Source organism: Homo sapiens, chromosome 1 (genome assembly GCF_000001405.40).
Source record: "Homo sapiens chromosome 1, GRCh38.p14 Primary Assembly".
NCBI lineage: Eukaryota > Metazoa > Chordata > Mammalia > Primates > Hominidae > Homo > Homo sapiens.
In genome coordinates this window covers 14,861,411-14,883,347 of record NC_000001.11, presented here as the reverse complement: position 1 = coordinate 14,883,347, position 21,937 = coordinate 14,861,411, and the positions used below count along the sequence as shown (strand labels likewise).

Sequence of the window (21,937 nt, the reverse complement as noted above, 5' to 3'; positions counted from 1 at the left end):
TCTTTCTCTCTCTCTCTCTCTCTCTCTCTTTCTTTCTTTCTTTCTTTCTTTTGAGATGGAGTTTCGCTTTTCTTGCCCAGGCTGGAGGGCAATGGAGTGATCTTGGCTCACCGCAACCTCCGCCTCCTGGGTTCAAGTGATTCTCCTGCCTCAGCCTCCTGAGTAACTGGGATTACAGGCATGTGCCATCACGCCCAGCTAATTTTGTATTTTTAGTAGAGATGGGGTTTCTCCATGTTGGTCAGGCTGGTCTCGAACTCCCGACCTCAGGTGATCCACCCACCTCAGCCTCCCAAAGTGCTGGGATTACAGGTATGAGCCACCGTGCCCGGCCAAGAACCACTTTTTGAGTTACCCATGAGTGGTTAAGGAGCAGCTCTGGAGAGAGATGTCTGAATTTGACTTCTAGCTCCCTATTTATTCCTCAAATGAACTTTGACAAATCTCTTCACCTTTCCACACCTTGGTGTCCTCATCTGTCTAAGGAGGATGATGTCAGTCCCTACTTTACAGGGGTTATTATGAGACTTAAATGAAATAATCCATGGAAAGGTCTTAGAACAGCATCTGGAAGTTTCTAGATGCTCCATAAATGCCAATGAACTTTTAAAACTGTGCTATAATTGCTTTTAGTTTTGCAAGCATTCCGTCTAGCCCTCCACGTGCAGGGAGAAGAAGGGAGGAGCTGTAAGTGATGCTTTAACCTTCCCTTGGTTCCTCAGAGCCAGCACTTCCCTTAGCACTGATTCTTTCACTCCAGCATCTGAAGATCTGGACTGATGGGAAATACCAGGTCTATAACAGAAGCCCTCCTTTATCAAAACCAACCATATGCCTGACCTCGAGCAGGGTGATTTCCACGCATCATTTCACAGCCCCCAAATGGACCAGTCCCCCTACTACAGACAAGGAAACCGAGGCCAAGAGAGATTAAACAACTTGCCCCAGGTGAGAAGCTAACACATGGAAGAGTCTTTAGGGCTGAAGCTTCAATGTTACTGCCGCTGAGTCATTTAAAATAGTCCTGGCTAAAGCATATCTAGCAAAACTTCAGCTTCTTCTAGGAGGGAAAAAAGTTTGTTTGGAATCTCTGAAGTTTAGCTGAGTGCATGCTGAGCTCACGCTCTAACAACCCTGAATTTGCATGAGATAACAACACTTCCTGTTCAGTTATGAAAAACTGTAGGGCAAGGCGAGAGGATGAGCCAGTCTCTGGCTACTCACAGTGTGATCCCCAGACCAGCAGCATGGGTCTTACCTGGGACTCGCTAGCAAGGCAGAATCCCAGGTCCCACGCCAGAGCTACTGAATCAGAATTCAGTAGCCCTAAGGACTCAACAGGTATTTACAGAGTACCAGCTTCAGAGGCAGCTTAGAGTGGACCTGAGAGACACACAGGAGGAGTAGAGAACAGGCCTTTCCCCGGAGGAGCTTACAGTGAGTTCAGAAGAGAAGAGAAAGCTGCCACCACCATAGCCAGCAGCACCTACATTTGTGAATCCAAATCTCATTTAAACAACCATACACAGAAAATAGTAATCTTATCCCCAGTATAAGGATGCAGAAACAAGTTCAGAGGGAGCAAATCGATTCAAAATGGTTCATATGAGGTCTTCTGGCTGGGAAGTGGTCGAGCAGAAACTTGATTCCAGGTGATTTGACACCAGAACCTGTACCTGAACCCACCATGTGGTGCCCTGAAATAATCTCAGACATGAGACTGTAAGTTCCTAGAGGCAGGGACCAGCTCTGCTTGGCTCACCACTGTATTCCCAGGGCTGAGGACAGTGCCTAGCACATAATCAGTATTCTATAAACACTTGCGGATGAAGAGATACATGAACAAATGGAAGATTCGGCAAGATGGCAGACAGTTCCAATGGTACGGGTCACAGAAAGTTTATTTCCTGCCCTCTAGTCCTTCTTGTGCCTTAGTAGCCTCAAATGATTTCCACTTCTCTTCCTCACCCCACCAGGCTGGCATTTCACATGCCAATGGCATTTGTTACTGCCTGTTTCTGCACCTACCAGTTTTGACAAGGGTTGGGAAGTGGTTTGCTGGGACATTATCTGACCTGTCACCCTGCTGGATTTTCTGGTCCAACTGGAAACACCCTGCTTATCATGCGAGAATTTACTTTCAGGGGTGTTCAGCCTAACCTGACTGAGCACAATCTGTGGAGCACTGGCCATGAGTAACTCCAGGAACACAGCTTTGCTGGATATTGGGAAAGAGCAATTTGGCTGTGAGCTCAGTTACCGCATGCTCCAAGAATGGATCCTGTGCCCACAGCACTTCACAGAGGCCTCAGGAGCACAAGGCATGCTGGACTGTCATTCGTTTTCTTACCTCATTGTTTTCCCCATGTTAACTGGAGGCTATTCACCGGCAAAGAGTTATCTTGCTGCTGCTCAACCCTCAGCACGAGCCTAGCAACTGGTATAAATCATATTCCACTGGGACAGGCATGTGTCTACTCTGACCAGTATAGGACAGCAGATGTGATGCCATGTGACTTCCAAGGTCAGGTCATCAAAGGCCTGCAGTTTCTGGTTGGTTCCCTTGGAAAGCTCTCTCCTGGAATGCACAAATCTATGCTCTAAGAAGTCCAGGTCACAGGGAGAAGCCACAAGCAGGCAGTCCAGTTGGCAGTCCCAGCTGAGCCCAGCCTTTGGGTCAACAGCCCACTTATTTAGACGAGTGAAGTCATCATCTTGGAAGAGGAACTTCCAGCCCAGCAGGAGCCTCTGGGTCCGGTGCCCAGCTATTTGAGTCACCCCCAACCATTTGATTCCTCCCAGATGAGGCCCTGAACATCATGGAACAGAAACAAGCTATCCCAGCCTTGTCTAATTCCCTGACCCACAAAACCCATGAGCATGTTCAAATTAGTGTTTTATACTCAGTTTGGGGTAGTTTATTAAGCCACTGCGGTACCTAGAGTAACTCTGGAATCAGACTGCTGAGGTGCAAATCCTAGCTCCACTAATTACTACATACTTTTCCTCGGGCAATCCCCTGGGGTCCTGCAGACTGCAGCTTTATCATCTACAAACTGGGTATCCACAGACTGTCTCAGAGGGTTATTGCAGGCACCGTGTGGGATAATGTACCTAAAGCATTTAGTCCAGAGTCTGGCATGGTTGCTAGTATAGTTGCCATTATCATCAGCTCAGAATTTGATGGGGCAGCTCCCTTTTCACACATAACTCTCCTCCCTCCAGTCCCTGCATCCTTCATGCATACGACAGAACCTCATCCTAAAGCCAAATCAGACCTTCATCTCCTGTGCCGATGATGTGGTCTACAGTGAGCATGTGTCTGAGAAGCCCAGAAGTTCAGCTCCACTGTTATTTGCCTTGAGATTCTTGACTTGAATTCAATCTTTGTGAGCCTTCTTTTCCTTGTTCATAACAAGGAGTTGGTCATAGCCCCCTTATGACGTTGTTGTGAGGATTAATGAGATAATGCACAAAATGTACTTAACATGGTAGCTCATATTTGGGGACCATTCGATGGTGGTCACTACCTCCATGATGACAAGATTGAACCCGACTGTGTCTTAGGCATGTCCATGCTGTGGGGGACGGTCTACATTCTCGCATAGTCACACAATTCAAATTGTATTCGAAGCCTTCATTCTGGAGCCCAGTTGGTCTCCACTAGGGGTAATTCCCTGGGCCCAAATCTGTGGTGTAGATTTTTCAGAATGAAGCTTTAAGTCAATCTGAGCCAACGAGTCTATTCGTAGGCCATTTCTGATCCTGAAATCAGAGCCAAACAGCATCTGATACTGCTGGATTGTGATATTGACAGATCACCCAGGGCCGTTTTGCTTTGGCTGGCTGGCAAAGTGATGCTAATAATGTTGATAACATCTTAGAACTATTTACTCCTGTACGTAGCACTGAGCAGTTTACAAAGCACTGGCTATAATAATCTCATTTGACTTCTCAATCATCATATATGTAATCATTAATAACAAAACTAGAATATCTATTACATATTGAGTATTTGTTAGGAATATGCTGTGTGCTTCACTTATATTAATTTATTTAATGCTAGAAACCACCTCACGAGATGGTGAATTCCCATTACTCTATTTACTCCATTAGTTGTTACACAGATGAGGAACCGAGGCTCCAGGAACCAGGTGACCAGCACAAGGTCAGCACTCAGGGACCGACGCAGCTGGTATTTGAACAGAGACCTTCCTGACTCCAGAGCTCAAATGCCCAATGCAATCCCAAGGCTCTGGCAGGGACTCTTCCTGCTCTTGGCAGATACGAGCAGGGATTTAAAGGGAGAGGAAAAAGCTTTTCATTTTCTTAGCAAAGTTGATCCGCAAGAAGATTACCTTTCAAGAAAACCAGGACAAGTTCCCTTAGAAACATGAAGCCAGGGCTGAGAGGCCACTTGGGGAAGATGAGGCCAGCTTAGGCCTCAGGAACTAGATCGATATCAACCACAAATTCATTTTATACGTTCATGAATATTCAATGGACTTTCCTATTCCCAGTGGGATGTGGGAAGGAAACGTGTTCCCAGAGCAACTGGGAAAACATGGTGGCCAACAGGAAACTGGCAAGGGAGAGGGCCTAGAGCCAGACAAGAGGCCGCAAAAGGTGGACCTGAGATGGGCATCTGCAGGGCTCTGCCTCCCTCCAGCTGAGGGCCGAATGTCCTTTCTCCTCCTTGTCCCAAGCCTGTTCTTAGAACTTGGTGGGTTTTCACCACAAAATTTAGAGTTGGGGAAAACTCTGCTTTGGGGAGGCCAATAGCTATCCATCTTCTGGGCTAAGCCATTCATTTGACAGATGGGGAAACTGAGGCCCAGAAGAGGGGATGCCCAGCACAGTTAATCAGAGGAATTCCTTTGGTGGTTCTCAAGTGGGGATGGGTAGGGGGGATTTTGGTACCCAGTTGAGACATATGGCAATGTCTGGAGACATTTTTGGTTGTCACACTGGGAGTATCTAGTGTGTAGAGGGCAGGGAAGTTGCTCAACATCCTACAATGCACAGGACAGCCACCCCCCCAAAGAACTGTTAATGTTTAACTCCAAATGCCAACAAGGTTGAAGTTGAGAAGCCCTGTTCTGGTCCTATGCATCAGTGATAGGTTGTGGGGTGATAAGTGGCCTTCAGGCATTAAGCAGCTGGAGTCAGAATCCACCAGCAATTATCATTCAATTTTAGAGGGTAGAAAGTTAAGACTGAGAGAGAGGAAGTGATGTGCCCTCTGTCACACAGCCAATATGTCGGAGAGCTGGAATTTTAACCATGTCTGCAGGTTCTTGGTCTGACTTTAAATGCAAGCCTTCTCGTCTTTCCACTTTGCCACTTTGTACAAGAAATCCAATCCACAATCATTGAGTCATCATTTGCTGGATGTCTGTCTCTCCCAATGTGCCGTAGGGTCCATCGAGACACTGGGAGCCAGCCTGGTATATAAAAGACATGAAATTTATTTGTGGAATTAATGAAAGTATTTGTAAGATATTCATGATAATTGTGAATATCAGATAACAACAGCCTTTACTGATCATTTATTCCATAACTATCAAGCACTGTACCGTTCTAAGCAGATTGCACATATTCACTCATTTTGCCCCCAACAGGCTCACGCAGTAGGCACTATTATTACACACATGTTATGGATGAGAAGACTGAAGCACAGAGAGGAGAAAGAACCTTGTCCTAGGTGACCAAACTAATAAGGGAGGAGCCAGGACTTGAACCCAAGCTGTCACAGGCTTTCGGAGTCTTTGCCGTGACCAAGGACTTGTGGTGACCCTGTGTTGTGTGTCTATTTCACACTCCACCTTTGGAGAACCTCCCCTTCCCCAACTCCTGGGTTGGGTTGGGCAGAGCTGACCCCATATGCCTATCTTTCAGCTCAGGGATTGGCCCATGATGCATGTCTATCATGCACCCTATCCCCATGGCCATTGTGATTGGATCAGAAATATGCATGTAACCAAAGGTGAACCAATCAGACTTTTTCTGGAACTTCTAGAAAATATGTTTTCTCTTGGCGATCCTTAGCAATAAGGATGATGTTTGAGGTCATCTTCCCCAGCCATATGGAGGATGGTGTCTTCAGTAGAAGACAATGGGGCCAATACACAAAGGGAGTAACGGGAGACAGAGCCACGAGATTGGTGGTGAGAAGAGAGTCCAAGAGAGTCCGAGAGAGTGCGGGGAACACCCCTTGAGCTCCTGGAGCCAGTCATGCCTGAAGGATCCACACTGGCATTTTCAAGTCCCTGGAACCAGCCATGACTGGAAGATCAACCCTGGTATTTTGAATCACCAGAACCAGTAGCTTTTGCATCTCTACATGTATGTATATATTTGGCTTAAGACAGTTTGGGTTGAATTTCTGTCACCTGAAACTCAAAAATGTCTGACTAATACAAGTTGGTTTCAACTTGCCCAAAGGCTTTCTTACTTTCTTTAGTTCATGTCAAAGTAGATGACTTTGCAGTATTCTAAGTGGTAAGACAAGACTTCCCCAAATCTAGACATGCCTATCTACAAAAAGGTCTGGAGGGAGAATAATAACAGCTAACATTTATTAGCTCTGTGTGACAGGCATCACTTTAAGTGTTTTACGTAGATTACTCATGGATCCTCAAAAGCATACCAATTTTTGGTACTATCATTAGCATCATTATCCTATTTTAGAGATGGGCAGACTAATGTAAACAGAGAAGGTGGGAAGCATACTCAAGGTCACAGAGCTGGTAAGGGGCAGAGTGAGACTTGAATCCAGGCAGTCCAGCTCCAGACCCCACTCCCTCCACTTAACTACTACACAACGCTGTGTCTGCTTCCCCTGCAAAGACCTGCACAGGAGTGATGGTCCTAAACCCAGGTTCCTACCTGCAATTTCAAGGTGTGTCCTCCCAAGCATCTGTTCTTTGCTCTGTTGCCAAAGGCATGTTTAATCACCTGCCTAGAGTTCCTTTCCTGGCTTGCATAATAATGAGCCCACAGCAGCTACTATCGCTAATGTCATTCTGGCTGCTGGCTGCATTTGCGCATGTAATAAACGCAGCTACCACAAGATTGGAAATTGGACAGGTGACAACAGAGGCTGTGATTGTGCAGATCAGATTGAGGACAGGGAACTGATAACACTGACAATTCCATAAAGCCATCACCTCATCTATTGTTTCTCACCTCCGCGGCAAGCCTCTGAGGTGCCCTAATGAGGTAAGATCCTAACATCTGTTAAGATCACAGTCCCACTTGGCTTGTCTGGGCTTTCTTCTTCCTCCTTGCCTCAGTCAAACAACTGCTTTTAATCTCTCCATTCAGAGGAGCGGCTCACTCTCACTTCACTGTCATCACACAGAGCTTGAAGCAGGGGGTGTCAACTGTGAAAGTTTGCAGGGCAACACATCTTCCCGAGCATCTCTGTTGATGTGGCAGTCATGCCTGGGCTGAAATCTACCCCCTTCCAGGAAAGCAGGAAATTCCCGAGGTCACACTTCAGATTGATCTCAGAAAACCTCTTTCTTGATAGTGAAGGCAACAGGCAGTGGTGTACTGGCAAGTGTTTAACAATCAACTGTGGAGGGTTGGGCGAAGGAGCCCTGATTTGTAGTCATTGCCAGTTTCCATGGTGTACGTACTCTCATCATCAATTTTAAGCCACCAGTATGAGGCTTATAACATTCCTGAAAATGTAACTATTGGCTCTCAGGAGCCTGGAGCAGACCCCAGCACATCCTGCGTAGGAAGCCTGGTCTGTGCCTCATGCCTCCTAAGAATCCAGTGATTTTCACTATTAGGAGAAGGAAGAAATGGCTTCATTGAAAATAGTTTTTTTTTCTTTTTTCTTTTTTTTTTTTTTTAATAAATTAAGGACAATGCAAGGCAGGGAAGACAAGAGTTCAGCTTCCATGCTCACCCAATAAATGATAACAACAACCAAATAAACCCATAAAAAGATAAATAACATTTACATAAAATGTCTTACAATTTTTTTTTTTTTTTTTTTTTTTTGAGACAGAGTTTCACTCTTGTTGCCCAGGATGGAGTGCAATGGCATGATCTCGGCCCACTGCAACCTCTGCCTCCCGGGTTCAAGTGATTCTCCTGCCTCAGCCTCCTGAGTAGCCGGGATTACAGGCATGCACCATCATGCCGGGATAATTTTGTATTTTTAGTAGAGACGGGGTTTCTCCATGTTGGTCAGGCTGGTCTTGAACTCCCAATCTCAGGTGATCTGCTTGCCTCAGCCTCCCAAAGTGCTGGGATTACAGGTGTGAGCCACCGCACCTGGCCACAAATTTACAGATATATCTGAGACCTTTCCTCATTTGGCTTTAACATGGAGGAATCTCCAGGGACCCCCACTTGCAGAGGTAGGTGGCTGCGCAAATCTGCTCTTCCAGAAAGGAAGGGAGATTTGGCAAAGCATCAGTTTGGCAAATGGAAATACAAAACCAAGTAAGTCTAGGATCCCAGAGTTAGTTTTTTTTCCTCTCATTTTCTTCCTTTCCTTTCCCTTCTCAAACCTTAAAAGGGGAAACATTCGACCAAGAGCATTATGGGTAATCCAGAGAAGGATAATCAAACCAGAAGATGTCAAGATTCTCATCTTATAGCAAACACAGGTCACACCAGGATTTCTGGGCTGGATCCAAAAAGTTGGGTGAATGGAGAAGGAGATTGGTTTTGACAGCTTTTGGTTCTGGCACACGGAGTGTCAGGCAACAGTTGCTTAATTGCTGTCACAGGTGACAAGATGGTGCAGTTACCTGCAGTAGTTAAGTTAGCTGCAGTAGTTAAGTTAGCCTTCCATCCATCTGTCCATCCATCCATCCATCCATCCATCCATCCATCCATCCATCCATCCATCCAGTCAGCCAGCTAGCTAGCGATTCATGCCACCATTCCTCTGAAACAACTCAAGGTCACCAATGACATTATTAAATCCAGTGGTCACCTTTCCAGCCCCTCTTACTTAATCTGTCAGCAGCATCTAACAGTTGAACACTCTCTTCCGGACACATGTCACTTCTCTACTGGTTTCTTCCTACCTCACCAGCTGTTCCTTTTCAGTAGCCTTTGTTGGATCCTCTTCCCCCTTCCGACCTCCAAATGTTGGAGGACTCCAGAGCTCAATCCTTGGATTCTCTATCTGTACTCACTTGTCTGGTATCGTGGCTTTAAATATCATCTGTATATGCTGATGATTCCCAAATGGATATGACCAGCCCTGTCCTCTCCCTTGAAATTTGGACAGTCAACTCTCAGATGATTAATAGACATCTCTAACCTAGCATACTCCAAACTGAGCTCCTGATTTCCTCCTGGCCCACCCCCTCTAAACTCGCTCCTGCCCCTGTCTTCTCTATTTCAAGAAATGACAAGTGCTTTCCTTCCAGTTACTCAAGGGTGCATCTCTGGAATCATTCTGGACTTCTCCTTTTTCTCCTACCCACCACATCCACCACGTCAGTTCTGCTGGCTCTACCTTTGAACTAGATACTGAATCTCGCCACTTTGCCCCACTTTGCACTGCTCTCTCCCTGGTCCCAGCCACCACAAACTCATGCCTAGATGATTGCAGTAGCTTCCTTATTTGTCTCCGGCACCTGCCTTTCCTCCCTAGAGTCTATTTTCAACACAACATAAATATATGTCAGATCCAATCCCTCCTCTTCTCAAAGCCCACCACTGGCTTCTCATTTCACTGAGAGGAAAGCAAAGTCTTCCAAAAGCCTGAAAGGCCCCTGGCTCCCTCTGACCTCCTCTCCTTTTACATTTCCTCTCCTCCCACACTCTGGTTTAGCCATGCTAGCCTTCTTCTGTTCTCTCTGCTTTTCCCTCAGATCTCTGCATAGCTCACTTCCTCCCTTCCCTCAAGGCTTTCTCAAATGCTGCTTTACCAAAGAGACCACCCTATGTGAAACAGCAGCCCCATTATTCTGCATCCCTCTTCCCCACTTTATTTTCCTTCATAGTGCTTACTGCTACTAGAAATTCTTTATGCTATTTGTTTTCTTCTTGAACATCTGACTCTCCCCTTTAGAATACAGTCTTTCTGAAAGCAGGAGCTTTGTCTGTGTTATTATTCTATCCCTAACTACTTGAATAATGCCTAGTGCATAGCAGGTGACAGAAGGAATGAATGGATGAATCCATCCACCCATCCATTCATCTATCTGTCCATCCATCCATCCTTCCATCCATCCATCCATCCACCCATCCATTCATCTATCTGTCCATCCATCCATCCTTCCATCCATCCATCCATCCACCCATCCATCCATCCACCCACCGATTCATCTATCTATCCACCCACCCATCCATCCATCCATCCATCCATGTATCCTTCTATATGTTCTTCTACTCATCTTTCCATCCATCCATCCATCCATCCATCCATCTATCCATCCATCCATCCATCCACCCAACCATCCATTTATCCATATATCCATTCACCCATCCATCCACCCATCTATTCATCTATGTATCCGTCTGTACATCCATCCATTTGTCCTTCCACCCATCCATCTGTACGTCCATCCATCCATCCACCTATCCATTCATCTGTCCACTTGTCCATCCATCCATCGAACCATCCATCCATGCAATAATTTCTTACTGGGATTCTGTATAGGTTCATGAGAGATCCATTATATTAATCCTTCAAATGTGAAGGGAGATGTCCAGAAATAAGACCATTTTAAGGATTTCAGGCCCCACTTAGATCAGTGGTTACAATAATTATGAGCATGAGCAAGACTTATTCACACAGTACCTGGCTTCATCATTGGAGCTTTCAATTAAGGGATGCAATGAATATTCCCTTATAGCACTTCACAGTTTACAAAGCAAACTGTAATGATCCAATTGAATAATCTAAAACTGCACTGTACAATATGGTTGCTGTTAGCCATATGTGGCTGTTTGAATTTAAATTCATTGAAATTAAATAAAATAAAAAATTCAGTTCCTTAGTCACACTAGCTATATGTTAATTGCTTAATATCCACATGTGGCCAGTGGCTACCATATTAAATAGAAAGTTCTAGGAAGTTCTATCAGACAGCACTGCTCCATAACCACCCTAAAGTAGTAGTTTATTATATCCCATTTTGCAGACAAGAAAACAAACCCAGAGAAGTCCCCCAGTCAGTATGAAGCAGAGGCTAGTCTTGAAATCTAGTCTTCTGACTCCAAGTCCATTATTCCTTCCAAAGAAGGGTAATTTAAGGGACTGGTGCCCACACGCTTGCACCCTAATTCAGCTTCTGATACAGGAGTGCAGGAATTTAGATGTTTATCTGCCAGCAATAGCCTCTTGCCTTGCTGTCTGCGCATATTCATGCCCCCTTCTTCTGGTAGCTCCCAGATGATTAACAGACATCTCCAGCCTAGCATGCTCCAGACTGAGCTCCTGATTTCCTCCTGGCCCACCCCCTCTAAACACCCCCATTCTCCCGGGTCACCTTTCTCTCCCCTACTCTGAGTCCATGACACTGAGACTCACGTGGGGCTGACCCCACTCTGATTCCAAGGGTCAGCATGTGAGCCTGTGACTCAGATCTGGTCAATCAGGATACTATGCCTTCAGGCCTTGGTGAATGAATGCAGTCAAAGAATTAACACCACACAGCATCAAGACACAGAGATGCAGGTGCACACACACACACACACACACACACACACACACTGCTGCTCATGTAGATGTCTCAGGCTCACTGCAGGTGATATTTTTAGTTCAGGCTGTGGGAGTTGGGGGTCAGATGCACAGAAAGCATCTTCCTTACGCCTCCCCTGTTGCAGATGCACTGATAATAATGGTGTGGCACGCCCTATGGAGATAATAATTTGTGTTTGTAAAATCCCAGACCAGAGCGACTTGTACACTTTTCCCCAGTTTCCCATTCCTATTCGAAGAGGAAGCCCATCCTCCAGCTCCCTTGCTGCAGGGCAATTTGTATGCAAAAGGAAACCAGAGCTTTACCAGGAAGCAAACCTCCCTCTTGACTCTTGTTCCTCAAGCAGAAGGTTCATGGAAGGAATTGGGGAAGAGGCTGTGGAACATTCTAGAAGAGAGCTGATTGGGCAATTCCCCAAACCTAGGAAGGAGAGGTCTGCAGGACAACTGTGCCTGGACTGTTCCAGCATCGTGAGGAGGTGCAGGACTAAAGAGGGCACATAGGTGCCGTGTGGTGGTGGAGGGTCTGGACCTTGAACACTGGAGCTTCTGACTTCACTGAAGACACACCTGGGCTCAGGCAACAGCACTGTCCACCTCTTGGAGATCAGGTGGGCCTGGACAAAGAACAGGTGAGCTGAGACCATGGAGGATGGAAGCCTCCAGGCCCCTTCCTCATTCTCCAGATATCAGACAAGCCTTCTGGGTTATTGTGTGACCCCAGGCAGGTGTGGAGGCGGCCATTCATATGATGAGTCTTAATTTCTTATCATTCTGGTAGGGTTGGGCCTGGTGAGATTTCTTGCACACTTGGTTGTGGAGTAAGATTCATATATGTAATAATGAGAACAGTGTGGCCACAGTGACACATAGTGCCACACAACCTTCACAACAAATGCCCCCGATTGAGAGCTGACCATGGGCCATTAATTGTGCCAGATGTGAAGCTCCTCATCTCATGAAGCATCACAGCAGCTCATGAGGGAGTCACGGTCGTGAACCCCATTTAACAGATGAGGAAAACCGGGCCTGGGGGCTCACACCTGTAATCCCAGCACTTTGGGAAGCCAAGGTGGGCAGATCACTTGAGGTCAGGAGTTTGAGAGTAGCCTGGCCAACATGGAGAAACCGCGTCTCTACTAAAAATACAAAAATTAGCCAGTGTGGTAGTGCATGCCTGTAATCCCAGCTACTTGGAGGCTGAGGTGGGAGAATCACTCGTACCCAGGAGGTGGAGGTTGCAATGAGCCAAGATTGTGCCATTGCACTCCAGCCTGGGCGACAGAGCAAAACTCTGTCTCAATACAAACACACAAAAAACAAAAAACAGTTGAGGAAACAGGGCCAGAGAAGTTAAGCCATTTGTTCAAAGTCACACAGCAAGTGAGGAGCAGAGCTGGGACTCACCCTTCACCCTGTCTTAACTCCAAAGCCTGTGGTCTTTTGGTTTTGAGTAGAAGGGTCTGATTTTTCCCAGTATCCAGGCCCTAGACTCCATGTTCAAGGAATCTCCCCAGCAGTCGTCTGAAGGTCAAAGCCAAGGTCAAGGCCAGGCCCAGTGCTCCTGGACAGATACTGGGATTTTCCACAGAGATGAGACCCTGAGTTTTTCATCTCATTGGGGAAAAATCTGGACATTCTACCTTCCATGTGATTTTTCTTACCTCTCTGTCATTTTTCCCCGGATACCTTGGGATTAATGGCAAAGTAATGCCGGGGTGGGTGTTGGGTGGCTTCAGGAAGGAAGGGGCTGAGGGCAGGAGACCGGTACAACCCAGCAGCCACCACATGGAACAAGGCTTTTAATAACACTGGATTTTTCCAGCAGGTCTGTGCGCTAATTAAACCTGCTCCTCGCAGCCACTGCAAAATGAAGGGAGTCTCACCTGAAAGCTTGTAATTTGCCAACACGAAGGAGAACAGAAGCAAGTACTCAAACATTACCCACAACCACTGCTTTGGAATATTGATTAGCAAGAGACGAGGCACATGCCAGCTTTCAACCCCTCGAACCCAATCAGAATCAATATTTCTCTCCTCAGAGTGCAGAGGAGAAGACCCTTTCAATTCCGATCCAGAAAGAGCCCAGGGGCTGTGACATCTGCCAGCCCTACTGTCCTGTTCTGCTTCACTGAAAATGCTAGCATAGGTGAAGATATAAAAATTACAGAACTCATCAAAAGATATTATAAAGCCCCAGCCACACATCCTAATGACTCACAAAATGACTAGTCTCCAGCATGCAGCCTGTAATTAGAGCCTCGCTGTGCAGAATATACAGTCACAGCCCCTGCGTTGAGGCTCCATAAAGAGTCCAGAGTCTGACCCCTGAATTGTGCTCACACAGGGAAGGCAATGAAAGGTCGCGAGCTCACCCTGAGAAGTGAGAAAAAATCCTCAGAACCTGGAAGAGCTTGAGACTGTGCAAAAGGGAAGTGGAGATTTAAAGGAGCAAACTGGAAGGGTCAAGACAGGCAGGAAGGGGATGGTGGAAGCTGGAATACTAAACTTCGATCCCAACCTGCGGCTAGAATAGGATCCAGCTGTCATGGCTTTGGCAAGTCTGCGGTTCTCACTAGGACACATCCCAAGGTGCTAGCAGGAACTAGAGAAGGGGAATCTGGCATCCTGACTAGCATTTTGTGGGTACCCACAATACCACCGGGGCCCCCAAGCTGGAGTGGGGGACACAGATCAACAAGGGAAAAATCACCGAGTAGAACAGATGCACCCCCCCGCCAACCCCGATTCAGTTCTCTTATCTTGGCCCCATTTCGGATTATTTATTATTATTTTTACTTAGCTATTAAGTTTTTTAGAGTTGGGGTCTCATTCTGTTGTGCAGGCTGGAGTGCAGTGGCATGATCATAGCTCACTGCAGCCTTGAGTTCCTGGGCTCAAGAGATCCCCCCACCCCAGCCTCCCTAGTAGCTGGGACTACAGGCACACGCCACCATGCCTGGCTCCTCTTGGCCCCATTTCTGGAAGGACATGCAGAGATGAAGACAGCTGCAGAGGAGCCTACTAGATTCCCCTCCCCAAACTCAAAGTCTGCCCAGATGTTCTGGGTCTACAAGACTCCAGTTCACCCAGTGGAAAAGTGGTAATGGTTAGACATTCACTTCAAGAAGGGCCCACGGGGAAGTGGTTAAGATTTCAGCCTCTGGAGTCACTAATCTTGGTTTCAAATCCCAGGTCTTGTAACGTGTGGCCCTAGATGAGTTGCTCCAACTCTGAGCCTCAGTTTCCCCATCTATAAAATGGCTCCCATCCCAGGAAAGTGTTAGAAAGCCCACAGCCTGGTACCCTCTAATTGCCCAATAGATGCAATAGCAATTAGTAGTAAAGACAGCCATTGGGTCTAAGAACAGTTCCCCTCCAGTGGCCTCAGACGCAGCCCTGGCTGTGCGTATGTGATGCCATGTGTTTGCAATGCCTGCGTATGCGATGCCTGCGTATGTGATGCGTGCTATTTGATGCCTGCCTATGCGATGCCCGCCTATGCGATGGCTGCGTATGTGATGCCGTGCTATGTGATGCCCGTGTATGCAATGCCTGTGTATGTGATACCGTGCGTATGTGATGCCTGTGTATGCAATGCTGTGCGTATGTGATGCCATGCTATGCGATGCCATGCCTGTGTGATGCCCACGTTTGTGATGCCTGTGTATCCAATGCCTGCATATGCGATGCCTGCCTATGCAATGCTGTGCTTATGTGAGGCTGTGCCTGCCCACTGCTGTCCTCCCTGTAGCCAGGTCATGTCTGTCTCCTCTCCACCTATCCAAGTGCAGTCCACAGCCTTATATACATCACTGGCTCAGCCCAGGAAAGCTGAGGACATAGCCAGGGACAAGCCCCAGACGAGGGGCCATGCCAGCTGACCTGCCTGCTGCCCTTTGCCCCAATGCCTCCATGCCCAGGGTGGGGGGGGGGGTGTCTTCAAAGACACCGAGTAAAGCAGAGACAGAAGTCACAGTCCTAGCAAAAGCACCTGAATAGGATGACTGCTGTTGTCATTAATAACACAAACAGCAGCACCTGACATCAGTCTACGGACAACTACGTGCTCTGTCATTTCATCCTCTCGGCGTCCTTGCGAGATGGAAGCTAGTAGTTTTCCTACTTCACAGAGCTGGAAACAGGCACAGAGAAGTCAAAAAGCCTGTCTTACCTGGAGCCCAGCTGGAGGATGCACCATCCCTGAACCCAACGGTAACTCTATCATCAGCACCATGGCCAGAGTCAGGTCCCGGGGGAATACAATGGTCTTGGGCTTTCTATTTTGGTGCCTGGTCTAAGTCTAGTGCAGTTTTTGTCCTCTGCTTCTCTCTCAGCCCACTCACAGCCTCAGTGCAAAATAAATCTCCCCACTCTCCCCACTCTCGCAGATCTCACAAAACAACAGACCTTCAAGGCAAAAGAGGAGGGAGAGGGGAGCAAAGGACTCCGAGAGGCCTCCACGCTCCATTGATCACAGGGCCCTGAACGTGGCTGCTCCCCTGCACAGGGAGGGCCCTGGCTGGGCCTTGGCCAAGCATTGTAGCAGAGGAGGCCTGGAAAAAACGAGCCCGAACTTGGGATTCAAGAGAAGGGCATTGCAAGGTCAGCAGTCCATCAGGGAGGCAGGGGCGTGGCCAGCCTCACTTAGCATCCTGCTTCTTTTCTGTCTTCTCCAATCCAAATTTATGCCATGACAATAACAGCATTCTCCATTATTGTGTATCTCCACTGATCTCAAGAGGTGTCCATAGACCAGGGTCTCCCCACAGCTCAGGCCAGCACAGATTCCATGCCTGGGGCCTCAGATTAGGTGTCCGGATGCTCATGGAGTGAGGCCCAAGGTCTTGGAAGGGCTGGAAGGACCTTTGGATTCATTTGGGTCTAGCAATTGTAGGATCAATGGTATTATCCTTCAACATTTTTTTTTTTTAAGAGACACAGTCTCAGTCTGTCACCCAGGCTGGAGTGCAGTGGCACAATCACAGCTCACTGCAGCCTCAACCTCCTGGGCTCAAGGGATCCTCCTACCTCAGCTTTCTGAGCAGCTGGGATTACAGGTACATGCCACCATGCCCAGTTCATTTTTTATTTTTGGCAGAGACGGGGGCAAAAGATGTTGCCCAGCTGGTCTTGAACTCCTGGATTCAAACACTCCTCCTGCCTTGGCCTCCCAAAGTGCTGGGATTACAGGTGTGAGCCACTGTGCCAGACCCTTCCACAAATTCTTGTATGTTAACTGCATGCCAGGCTCCAGGGACAGAAGGATGACAAGATGGGCATAGACCTTGACCAGGAGCTTATGGGACTGAGGAAGGGGCTCTCGCCAAAACTCAGGGAGATCGGGATGCTTGCTTTCTGTACAGGTCACCTGCTTTCGGTGAGGTAATTCATTGCATAGTCATCTATGTGCAAAGCGCTCTAAAGTAGGGGTTGGACAGGTGATGTGGGGATGGGACAGGAGAAGAGCTGAGTGGGGAGGGGAAGCTGAAAGAGAGTTCCAGGCAGAGGGAACAGCAGGTGCAAAGGGCATGGAATTGGGAGAGAGCTCGGCAAGTTTGAGAAGCTGAAAAAAACTTTCCCAGGGCTGCTATAACAAAGTGCCACAAAGCAGATGGCTCAGAACAACGGAAATGTATCATCTTGCAGTTCTAGGGGCTAGATGGCTGGGATCGAGGTGTCGGCAGGGCTGTGCTCCCTCTGAAGGCTTCAGGAGAGAATCTTTCCTGCCTCCTCCCAGCTTCTGGTGGTTTCTTGGCACTCCTTGGCTTGTGGCTGCCTCACTCCAATCTCTGCCTCTGTGGTCCCACGGCCTCCTCCCTGTGTATCCACGTGGCCTTCTTACCAGGACATCAGACCTTGGGATTAGGGCTCACCCTATTCCAGTAAATCTTAACTTGACTAGTTATAACCACAGAGATCTTGTTTTCAAATAAGGTCATGTTCTATCATTCCAGGTAGACATGAATTTGGGATGAGGGCACACATAATCCAACCCAGTACAGGCAGGATGGCTGGAGAGCAAGGGGGAGGGTGGTCGTAGAAGGGATTGCTATTCCTCAGAAAGAGATGAGACGTCTCTCTGGCTTTTGGTGGAGGGGGTCCCCTGGCAAGAAGAAGGGTGTTTTCTGGTTGCAGTCTCCAGGCTTCTGCCATGAGGGAAGGTCACCGCAGCAGCAGATGGCAGACATGGGGGAGGAGGGAGACCAGGAGAAGCCAGGGCGCAAAGATCTTGTCTTAAAATACACCAAATCAGGAAGATCTGTCATCTCTGCTAAGCAGATGTGTTGTAGATTCTATTAAAAGCACAAATGAACTTCAGAAGACAGGTCCTAATAAGCAATTCTAATTATCATCTTCATTAACTACTCCAGTCCCAGGGCGATCTATTTTCATACTGGGGAGGAGCCGCAGCTACATTTCTCTGGAAAAGTCTCTTCCTCTTGGTGCCTCCAGATGGGAAGTTTGTCTAGTGGTGAGAACGGTGTCCCTGACCTTGGGCAAGAGGCAGAGGTAGAAGGTCCCCATTCCACCCCTGCCTGAATCTTTGCATCCAGTGTTGAGTAGCTAGCTTCCTCTCACACATTCCAATCCATTTTGGACGGGGAAAGATCTCATTGAGGAGATGGTACCTGGGGTTTGCTATTTTATCCAACAAGCAATGTTTTGGTGGGTCTAGCATGGTGCTGGGTAACACTAATGGCAGTTTCACCTGGCAGGGGCTGCTGGTCTGAGCTTTTTTCATGCAGTAATTCGTTTGCATCTCACAACATCACAACCATCTTGTGGGCTGGGTGTTGTTATTATCCCATTTCATACATGAGAAGACCAAGGTCTGAGAGGGGAAGTGATAGCCAGAAAGTGGTGCCGCTGATACAGGCCCCCAGCAATCTGAATCCAGAGCCCGTCCTCTGAATGCAACAGCAGGTAGCCTGTCAGATGTTGCCAGATGCTGTTGGGGGATGGAGGGTGGTGCAAAAAAACCACGTTCACCAGCTGCCAGGCTTTTGCCACCATTTCAACTTCAAGGTTTAGGGCTGTGTCCGTCCCACCTTTATACCCACTTAGCAAAGCCCATCGTTTGTTTGTTTTTTCTTTTAGAGACTGAGTCTCCATCTATCGCCCCCACTGGAGTGCAGTGGCACAATCTCTGCTCACTGCAACCTCCACCTCCCGGGTTCAAGTGATTCTCCTGCCTCAGCCTCCCGAGTAGCTGGAATTACAGGCGCCCACCCCACGTCCAGCTAATTTTTGTAGTTTTAGTAGAGACGGGGTTTTACCATATTGGCCAGGCTGGTCTCGAACTCCTGACCATGTGATCCGCCCGCCTTGGCCTCCCAAAGTGCTGGGATTACAGGCGTGAGCCACCGCGCCCGGCCCCCATGTGAACCATTGTTGAAACAGTCCCTTGACATTGTAGTTCCAGCTTTTCTCACTTTTCAGTAGTAACCACACTTGAAGTTTAACATTCACCTTGTAAAGAAAGATTTGAGGTGACCCTTGCACTTGCTTTAAGCCTGGACCTTGCTGGTGGGGGTAGAATCCTCCATCTGCTAGGCTTCCTGGAATGGGAAGATTGGGCTCTCACTGAGTCGAGCTGATTTTTCTGTTTTGACCCATGCCTGGCTCATAACAGCCTCTGAATAATTACCTCCTAGCTGGATGAAGGAAAAGAATCATGAGTGAAGGAATGAATGCATGAATCTGTTACCTTTCAGCTGCACATCCCCCCAACTCAGGCTGTAGTTCTGCAGGACTACTGACTCCTCCCGAACACACTGCATGCACTCTGGATCTCTGTGCCTTGGCCTGCTCAGTCCCATCTGCCTGAAATGCCTCTGTGCCCCTACTCCGACTCATTCATCCTTCAAGGACCAGTTCAAGCTGATCCCCCGTGCACCTTCAGTTTCCCCTGAAATGAACTCCTCAGCTGAGTTCATTATTCCCTCTCCCATGTTCTCAGAGCACTCTACACATATACACCAAGAGCCATCACGGGATTTGGATGGTATTTTGATTCTTTACACATCTTTCTCTCTCTTTGACTGCTACAGCCCCTAAGGTTAGGAATTGAATCCAATTCCTCTCTGATCCCCCAAATCTAGTGTTCAATAGAAGTGTTTGAAAAGTAAACAGAAAATCCAAGCTTTGCATCCTGACTGAGTGGAAAATGAGGAGGGACCCCATTGGCTGGGCCCTCTCTCCACTTCTGCTCAAAGCTGTCTTTGAAACATTCCAGGTGAGGTTAGAGGTTTGTTCAATCACATTCATCCCCCAACACAGCAGAAACCTGGCATCCCCCGGAGGGACAGAGTGTCTGCTGCCCCGATGGGGTCTGCCTGTCACACCGAAGGATAAATCTCTCCCTCTTTGGACTCTTGGAGCACTCAGGGTGCCCAAGACACCCTCTGTACATTCCCGGGGGATGCCTTTGGCTGCTCATAGATCCCACATTGATGGCAAACGCGAGAACAGCAGTGCACACAGCCCTCCAGGTGTTTCATAACAGGGCTCTAGGCCACACCCAGTCCCCAGAGCAAGCTCACCACCTGACAGTGGAAAGAAAGAGAAAGGGATACAAAGACTCAGCTACAGAAGCGTCTCATCCTGTGAAATAATCCATAAATGGAACCACGGGAGCAACAGAATGGCCCTAAGACCGAATCTCAGCTCCACCTTTTCTCAGCTTTGCGGGTAACTTCTCTTGCCTCATCTGTACCATGGGTACAACATTGCGCTTGTCTCAGTGTTGTCATGAAGATGAAATGAGACACCATATGCAGGGGCAATGACACTAGTCATCGATAGCTAATAAGGCCCATGAATTGTGCCAGTGATAAATAACTGGTGAAATTGGTTCTGTGTCCTGGTTTGCAAAGCTGAGCACATCCCGAATATATATGAAGAACTTAGTGTCAATGTATTATGAGCACATAGCACGGGACAGCTCCTATGACTATCAGTGCTGGGTTTATACTGATTCGAAACTCCCAGGTGACCATTTGTTAAAATGGCTGCTCGCATCCTAGGTACAGTCTGGGAGGCTGATTGGAAAGACTAGTTTAAATCATCTTCACTCCCTGCTGATTTTCGCTGCTGTCAGTAGGCCTCCCCTGATGTGACTAATCTCTCTTCATTCCCAGGCTGGGGGTTTGAAAGTCACCACTGGCAAAAATCAATCCAAAGCAATTAAATCCCTACCAGGTGTGATTGGAACAGGAGCTCAATTGATTGGAGGTGCACTGGGATGGGAAACTCCTGTAGGTATTGGCCTTGTAGCACCCCGAGAAAGCCAGGTTCCTCTTCTCAGATTCAACGCCCCCATGCTGGGCACTCCGAAACCCCTCCTTGCAGCAGGCCTTCTGCCGACGGGCAACCAAAAGGCTGGTTCCTCATTTCCTCTCTGGGTCTGCTGGCACTTGGTTCACACATTTGTTATGGCCGTTGTCAAGTGGTGTTTTAATTATGATTTGAGATCTGTGCGAATCTCACTCTATTATTCGATCCTTGAGAGGAGGGGGACTGTTTCTTGTTCATATTTATACCTTTATCCTTCAGGTGTCCATCACACACCATAGGCGCTGTAGGCAGTCAGGATTTTCCATTACAAATGACTGACAACACAACCCAAATTGGTTTAAATAAAATTATGGGCTCACCTAACTGGAAAGTCCAAGGGCAGCTTCTACATGCAGCTAGAGCTTGGCTAAGGATCTGAAATGATGCCACCAATCCCGTTTCTCCCTTTCAGCATTACTTGGCTCCCCTCCCTCTGGTTGGTTCCCTGCTCAGATCGGCTCTCTCCGCCTGGTCGCAAAGTGGCTGCTAGCAGCTCCAGCCTCATATTCTCCCTTGTTCAAGTTCAATGGGTATGCATGCATCTCTTGGGCAGGGGTCTCAGTCAAAGTCTCATTGTGTCTCTAGCTCTGCTTGGGTCAAGTGCCTACCTTGCATCAATCAGTGTGGCCTGGGGACTGTAATGCTCAGGACCCCAGCCCCATGCCCACCTCTGGAGCGAACCTTAGCTGAACAAAATGAATTAAGGGTGGGGAGGGGTAATTCCCTGGAAGGAAGTCGTAGTAATGAATGGTGGTGGATAGAACACAGCAAGGGTCTACTTCAGCACTCAATGAATGAAGTAACAAACATTAGTGGAGAAACAGGATCCTTTAGTGCATTCCTTATGTCTCAATGATGACATCCCATTGTTGTTCCTACTTGTGCTATTTCTATTAGGTTGGTGCAAAAGCG

General features: G+C 47.7%; 1 protein-coding gene across 11 annotated transcripts in view, besides 3 other annotated features; it reads right to left on the bottom strand.

Moving 5' to 3' along the window:
- Positions 1–21,937, bottom strand: part of KAZN (kazrin, periplakin interacting protein) — a 1,225,220-nt gene that overhangs the window by 234,696 nt on the left and 968,587 nt on the right. The window lies entirely within an intron of this gene.
- Positions 1,351–1,410: an enhancer, noted in NCBI's record as "active region_229". NCBI's record gives its function as "activates an Ori minimal core promoter by ATAC-STARR-seq in GM12878 lymphoblastoid cells {active_cell/tissue: GM12878}" and the evidence as "EXISTENCE:reporter gene assay evidence [ECO:0000049][PMID:35858748]".
- Positions 1,421–1,470: an enhancer, noted in NCBI's record as "active region_228". NCBI's record gives its function as "activates an Ori minimal core promoter by ATAC-STARR-seq in GM12878 lymphoblastoid cells {active_cell/tissue: GM12878}" and the evidence as "EXISTENCE:reporter gene assay evidence [ECO:0000049][PMID:35858748]".
- Positions 14,743–15,243: an enhancer, noted in NCBI's record as "H3K4me1 hESC enhancer chr1:15194601-15195101 (GRCh37/hg19 assembly coordinates)". NCBI's record gives its function as "activates a minimal SCP1, AML or CMV promoter by ChIP-STARR-seq in primed H9 embryonic stem cells {active_cell/tissue: H9 hESC(primed)}" and the evidence as "EXISTENCE:reporter gene assay evidence [ECO:0000049][PMID:30033119]".